Raw genomic sequence first — 7550 nt, 5'->3', positions numbered from 1 at the left:
AAAGTTGGCCAGGAATGGTGGTGTGCTCCTGTGGTCCCAGCTACTCCGGAGGCTGAGGTGGGAGAATTGTTTGAGCTCAGGAGGTGGAGGTTGCTGTGAGCCGAGATCTTGCCACTGCACTCCAGCCTGGGCGAGAGAGTGAGACCCTGCCTCAAAGGAAGAAAAAAAAAAGATAAGTAACTTGCCCAAGGTCACTTGAAGCCCAAGCCATCTGATCTGGGCCATTTCTCATATTTATGCCCTTCTGAATTACTCTTGAGCAGGCGGTGCCCTATGGGAAAAGGTCCTAATTAGATGACCATGTTACTATCCATTCAAGGTTCTTAGTTCAATTCAGTTCTATGTACTATAGAGAAAAGTGATCTGTCAGGCTCTGGGTTTGTCCAGACTTCTAAAAATAAGCCATGTTTCTGGGTCAGCAGCTGTGAGGGCCACATTGAACAGTGACTGCCTTGGACACATTTAGCCCCAAAGCTTTCTGTCCTGACCTCTATTGCGTCCTTAGTTAAAATAACAATCTTCATAGTCTCTAATCCTAGGCCCAGATCTGCAATGTGGAGGCCTAGGAATCTAGGTGTGTAACAAATATCTCAACTGATCCCTAGGGAAGAAGATATGGTCAGGTGGTACTAATTCTTCTTCTCCTTCTTCTTTTGAGACAGGGTCTTGCTCTGTCGCCCAGCCTAGAATGCAGTGCTGCAATTATAGCTCACTGCAGCCTGGACCTCCTGGGTTCAAGTGATCCTCCTATCTCAACCTCCTAAGTAGCTGGGACTACCGGCATGCATCACCATGACCAGCTAATTTTCTGTAGTGATGGCATCTGGCTATGCTGCCCAGGCTGTCTCGAACTGCTGACCTCAAGCAATCCTCCTGCCTTAGCCTCCCAAAGCGGGGTTACAGGTGTGAGCCACCACACCCAGCCAGGTGGTACTTTTCTTTTTGAGATAGAGTCTTGCTGTGTCGCCCAGGCTGGAGTGCAGTGGTGTGATCCCAACTCACTGCAACCTCTACATCCCAGGATCAAGTGATTCTCATGCCTCAGCCTCCCAAGTAGCTGGGATTACAGATGTGTGCTGCCACACCTGGCTAATTTTTGTATTTTTAGTAGAGATGGGTTTTCACTATGTTGGCAAGTCTGGTCTCAAAATCCTGACCTCAGGTGATCTGTCTGCCTCAGCCTCACAAAGTGCTGGGATTACAGGTATGAGCCACCGCACCCAGCCAGGTGGTACTAATTCTTCACTACTGATGGGGAAACAGATACCCAGCAGAAAGGTGACCGCCCCACAATTTTATATTTAGTCCCTTGGTCTCCTTCTAATGAGGAATGAGGCCTGAGGTTCCAGTATTACTTTCAATAAATATTTATGTTTATTACCTACTTAGCTCTTTGAAAAATGGTTACATCAAAGGTGTATTAATCTATGAGCTCCTGGCGGACGAGGACAGATTGTTGGAGTGTCCTCCTAGCATGTTAAAAATTAGTGACGATGATAACGACGCTGATGACAATGATGATTAGGCTCAGCACTAGGGCCTGGATCCAGTCCCTTAACTTCTCTGGATGAAGTGTCTTCCTTTGTTAAATCAGGATAATGAGACTCTCCTGCTGTTGTTTGTGAGGCCAATTAACTACTGTCTTGCAAGGACTCAGACCTACAAACACTTTGTAATCTATTCAAATGTAAAAGGCTTGATGAGGACTTTGGTTTGTGAACTTAAGCACACAAAAGCTAGGAAACGCAAAAGTTCAGGCCTGCCTTGTGAAGCCGGCTGCCTTGTGAAGCCTGCTGCCAGCTCCATCCTCCTCTGTCCCAAAGTAGTTTTTCTAGTGATTACAATTCTGCAGAACTAGAAACTAATGGTGCTGCATTACAAACAAGCAAAAACTGATATGAAATGAGTATAAATTGGCCTTCATCGAGAAATTCTTTTCCATTTATAAATAATGTCATGAGGTGTGTGTGTGTGCACATGTGTTGTGTTATTTGGGAGTTTTTTTTTGTTGTTGTTGTTTGTTTGTTTGTTTTGAGATAGAGTCTCGCTCTGTCACCCATGCTGGAATGCAGTGGAGCGATCTCGGCTCACTGCAACCTCCGCCTCCCGGGTGCAAGTGATTCTCTTCTCTCAGCCTCCTGAGTAGCTGGGATTATAGGCACCCACGACCACGCCTGGCTAATTTTTGTACTTTTAGTAGAGACAGGGTTTCACCATGTTGGTCAGGACGGTCTTGATGTCCTGACCTCGTGATCCACCCACCTCAGCCTCCCAAAGTGCTGGGATTACAGTTGTGAGCCACTGTGCCCGGCCGGGAGTTTTTGTTTGTTTGTTTTTCGTTTGTTTGTTTTGTTTTGTTTTGTTTTGTTTTGAGACAGAATCTTTCTCTGTTGCTTAGGTTGGAGTGCAGAGGTGCGATCATAGCTCACTGCAGCTTCTACCTCCTGGGCTCAAGTGATCATCTCACCTCAGCCTCCTAAGTGGCTGGGACCACAGGCGTGTGCCACCACACTCGGATGATTTTTTATTTTTTGTAGAGATGGGAGTCTCCTTATATTGCTCAGGCTGGTCTTGAACTTTTGGCCTCAAGCAGTGCTCCTGCCTCAGCTTCCCATCTTATCTCATTTAAACTTAAGAACAACACTGTGAGGTAGGCAATGCCGTTATTTCCACTTTATTTTCATTTGTTTATTTATTTATTTATTTATTTTGAGACAGAGTCTCAGTCACCCAGGCTACAGTGCAGTGGCGTGATCTGGGCTCACTGCAACTTGCACCTACCCAGTTGAAGCAATTCTCCCTGCCTCATCCTCCCGAGTAGCTGGGACTATAGGCCCGCGCCACCACGACTGACTAATTTTTGTATTTTTAGTAGAGACGGGGTTTCACCATGTTGGCCAGGCTAGTCTCAAACTCCTGACCTCAAGTGATCTGCCCCCCATTCCACCCCCCCCACCCCTTCGGCCTCCCAAAGTGCTGGGATTACAGGTGTGAACCACTGCACCTGGCCTATTTCCACTTTATTTTACAGATAAAGAAATTGAGCTCTTGAGATGTGAGGGTTGCCTTGTGCAGTCTTCTTAGTTTGTGGTCATTTCAATGACAATCCACACAGTGTTCCCTTGTGTGAAGGAAACTTCCCCCAGTGATGCTGGTGCTGGGGCCAAAATGACACCAGTGGTTGAAGATTCTGTTCTGGATTAAAGCATGGATGGACCAGGCTGCGTGCTCTCCTAGATGCGGGGAACTGATTTGCATTTTGGAGATCTCCAAAGCTGTTTTCTGGGGGAGGCTCACATTTCTTGTGTACTTATGATGTGTCTTGCCTTGTGCTAAGCTAGGCAGTACAACCTAGTGGTTAAGGGTGAGGCTTCCAATCCTGACTTTCTCGTTTACCAAGTTATTTAACATCTCTGTGCCTCAGCTTACTCTTCTGTAAATCCTAGCACTTTGGGAGGTTGAGACAGGAGGATTGCTTGAGGCCAGGAGTTCCAGACCAGCCTGGGCAACACAGCAAGATCTCCATCTCTACAAAAAATGAAAATATTATCCAGGTGTGATGGTGCATGCCCATTGTCCCAGCTACTGCGGAGTCTGAGGCAGGAGGATCGCTGGAGCCCAGGAGTTTCAAAGCTGTAGTAAGCTATGACTGAGTGAGCCACTGACTCTGAGGCAGGAGAATTGCTTGAACCTGGGAGGTGGAGGTTGTTGTGAGCCGAGATTTACATCACTGCACTCCAGCCTGGGTGACAGGGAGAGACTGTCTCCAAAAAACAACAACAAAAAAAACACAACCCTAGCAGTATGTCCCGTGTGTCCCTCACAGAGTGATTGTGAGGATTAAATGAGTGAATACACAGAGAATTTTTATAGCACTCACATTAGCGACGGCCTAAGGCCACACAGTGAGGAGTGCATGGCTGGCATATGCATCCAAGTCCTTCCAGAGTTTGCGTTCTTCAACCGCTGACCTTTTCTCCTCTGAGACGGCATACTCACAAGTAGCAACACGCCAAGGCTCTGATGACATCATCTATTCATTCAAACATTGGCTGCGTGATCAGAGCGAGCCAGGCCAAGCTAAATGCCAGGAACGAGGTCTCTCACCAAGAAAAAGATGTAGTTCACGCTGTGGGGCCCAGGGCGTGGGGCTTGGCAATTGCAGCGAGAGAGCCTCGTGCCAGGTGACAAGCACCCCAATGTCAGGAAGCCTAGGATGCTTGTGGGCGCAGAAGAGATACCCTCAATGTAGTGCTGGGGAAAGCAGATGACCTTTGAACTGAGCCCTGAAGACGAGTCAGAAGGCCAGCTGGGGGTGCCAAGTGGGCAGAAGGTTTGTGGACAGATCAATCCACTGGTGATAAGAGCCTGGGAGCCAGAGGTGGGTGCTTTAGGAGTCAGGGGAGTCAGGGAGGCTGCTGAGAGGTGAAGCCAGAGAGGGTTGGAGACTGGGTCTGGAGGGCCTGGCGCATCAGCCCCAGAATGCAAGCGGAAGCCAGTAGTGGCCTCCGATCGTATTTACACTGAGGAAAGACTAGGGGCCGGGTGCGGGGGCTCACACCTGTAATCCCAGCAGTTTTGGAGGCTAAGGTGGGCCGATCACCTGAGGTCAAGAGTTTGAGACCAGCCTGGCCAACATGGTGAAACCCCGTCTCTACTAAAAACACAAAAATTAGCTGGGTGTGGTGGCGGGCACCTGTAATCCCAGCTACTTGGGAGGTTGAGGCAGGAGAATCACTGGAACCCGGGAGGCGGAGGTTGCAGTGAGCCGAGATCGTGCCACTGCACTCCAGCACTCCAGCCTGGGTGACAGAGCTAGACTCTATCTCAAAAAAAAAAAAAAAAGAAAAAAGAAAAAAAAAGAAAAAGAAAAAAAGAAAAGACTAGGGCCTGTCATGTGGAGACCAGATGGGGAATACAGAGGGGCTGGACACCAGAAGCAGGGAGTTAAGGTAGGGAGGCTGTTACCAAAGCCAGGGCAACGGGCAAGGGGCCTGAATGAAGGAGGTGGTAGTGCTGCTGGGGTTTGGAGAGACAGGCTGGGATTTTAGGACCCTCTTGGCTGGAACAGTGTCATCTGACTTTTTTTTTTTTTTGAGACAGGATGTTGCTCTCTTATCCAGGCTGGGGTGCCATGGCATGAACGTGGCTCACTGCAGCGTTGAACTCCTGGGCTCAAGTGATCCTTCTGCCTCAGCCTCCCGAGTAGAGTAGGTGAGAATACAGGTGGCTGTGCTTACACATTTTTGTTCCACCACCTTGTGGGCTGTTGTGATGTCTGGGGCTTGAGCTGCATCTGCTGCTCCAACTTAAACAGCAGATTATTTTCTCATTATCCTGTGTTCAGAGAGCATCTCTGCTCCTTTTCTGGAATGTCAGGCTTTGACTCTTTGGTTTCAGGTTTTTTTTTTTTTTTTTTTTTTGAGATAGTGTCTCACTTTCTCTCCCAGGCTGCAGTGCAGTGGTGCAATCATAGCTTATTGTAGCCTCGAACTCCTGGGCTCAAGCGGTCCTCTTGCCTCAGCCTCAGAGTAGCTGGGAATACAGGTAGTCAGGTATGAGCCACCTCATAAATTAAAACATTAGAGGTATGGATGGGCGCTGGGACAATGCCTGTAATCTCAGCACTTTGGGAGGCCGAGGCAGGCAGATCACTTGAGGCCAGGAGTTCAAGAGCAGCCTAGTAAAACCCTGTCTCTACTAAAAGTACAAAAATTAGCTGGGCGTGGTGTTGTGTGCCTGTAGTCTCAGCTACTTGGGAGGCTGAGGCATGAGAATCGCTTGAACCTAGGAGGTGGAGGTTGTATTGAGCTGAGATTGTGCCTCTGCACTCCAGCCTGGGCGACATGACAGAGAGACTCCGTCTCAAAAAATAAAATAAAATAAAATAAAATAAATAAAATAAAATAAAATAAAATAAAATAAAATAAAATAAAATAAAATAAAATAAATTTACAGGTATGAGCCACCATTCCTGGTAATTTAAAAGTGTTTTTGTAGAGACAAGGTCTCACTATGTTGCCCAGGCTGGTCTTGATGTCCTGGCCTCAAGCGATCCTCCCGCTTTGGCCTTCCAAGGCGCTGGGATTATAGACATGAGCCACTGCCCTGGCCTCTCAATCGATTTCTGAGTGCCCTGATTCCAGCTCCAGCACTCTCTTTATTCCTCGGGGGAGAAACTTGGCACTTGTTATTCCTATGCCTTCTACACCCCATATTCAGACAACCACCAAGTCATTGTCCTTCCCTACAACTGCTCTTTGAAGACTCCCAGCTGTGTCTGTTCCCACAGTCATAAGTCAGGATCCGTCTGTCCCCGTCACGCTGATTGCTGTAGTGTCTGTCCTGACTGTCCTCTCTGCTGCCTCTTACCTTCTCCAGTCACCCAGCCCATAGAATGGAGTCCCCATCACCATTCTGATCACGCCCTTGCTCTGTTTAAGATTCTGCAGCGGGGCCTGCTTCTTATCAGATCATTCCAGGCTCCCTGTTCTTTTATCAGCCATCGTACTTATGCCCCACTGCTGCGCAGGGCAGACCTGGTGCTGCTCAGGCCGAAGCCTCTCTGTTCTTGTTACAGCAAGGCCACGTTCGTGCGTTTGCCGGTGCAGAGCAGTTTTGTTGGTCAGACCTACTGACAAAACCCTCCCGGATCATTTCTGGAACACGTCTCCTCCTACTGATTTGAGTCACCTCCTGGGGGAATTTTAAAATTTGAATCAGGAGCACAGAGGGAGAGAGGGAGAGGTCTGGAAGTCACAGTTCTAGCAAAGATGAGTCTGGGCAGATAGAAGTTGGAATCCAAGGTCTTTCTTTGAACACACAGTTCTGAGAGGTGGAGGTGGGGATGACATCAAAATCACAGGCCAAGTGAGAGGGAAGCACTGAGCTGACCTGATGGTTTTGGCATGACTTGGGCAAACGAGCGAGTGGGATTAGCACAGCCGATGAATGCAGTTAAATGCTGTGCACTGTGAAACACACACGGGCATGCAGGTGGCCTTGGAGAGGTGATGAAAATTTGTCACTTGAAAAAAAAACAACAGCCAGGCGTGGTGGTGGCTCATGCCTGTAATCCCAGTACTTTGGGAAGCCAAGGCAGAAGGATCACTTGAGCCCAGGAGTTCGAAACCAACCTGGGCAACAAAGTGAGACCTCATCTCTATAAAAAATTTAAAAAATTATCTGGGCATGGTGACATGCACTATGAGTCCAAGCTACTCAGGAGGCTGAGGCGTGAGGATTGCTTGAGCTCAGGAATTTGAGGCTGCAGTGAGCCGAGATTGCGTCACTGCACTTCAGCCTGGATGACAGAGCAAGACTCTGCCTTAAAAAAAAAACAAAAAAAAAAAACCCAAAAAACCCCCCAAAAAATTAATCCCCAATGTTGGAGGTGGGTCCTGGCAGAAGGTGTTTGGGTGTTTGGATCATGGGGGGCAATCCTTCATGAATGGTTTGGTGCCCTCCTTAAGGTAATAAATGAGTTCTCAGTCCACTAGTTCCCTAGAGATCTGATTGTTTAAAAGAATCTAAGAGGCTAGGCATGGTGG

At 48.1% G+C, this 7550-nt stretch overlaps 1 annotated feature.

The window, feature by feature from the left end:
* Positions 1256 to 2037: an enhancer, noted in NCBI's record as "OCT4-NANOG hESC enhancer chr7:68915277-68916058 (GRCh37/hg19 assembly coordinates)". NCBI's record gives its function as "activates a minimal SCP1, AML or CMV promoter by ChIP-STARR-seq in naive and primed H9 embryonic stem cells {active_cell/tissue: H9 hESC(naive and primed)}" and the evidence as "EXISTENCE:reporter gene assay evidence [ECO:0000049][PMID:30033119]".

Source organism: Homo sapiens, chromosome 7 (assembly GCF_000001405.40).
Source record: "Homo sapiens chromosome 7, GRCh38.p14 Primary Assembly".
NCBI classification, from domain to species: domain Eukaryota; kingdom Metazoa; phylum Chordata; class Mammalia; order Primates; family Hominidae; genus Homo; species Homo sapiens.
Note: the sequence above shows the minus strand (reverse complement) of the source record. Positions and strands in the feature narration are given on the sequence as shown.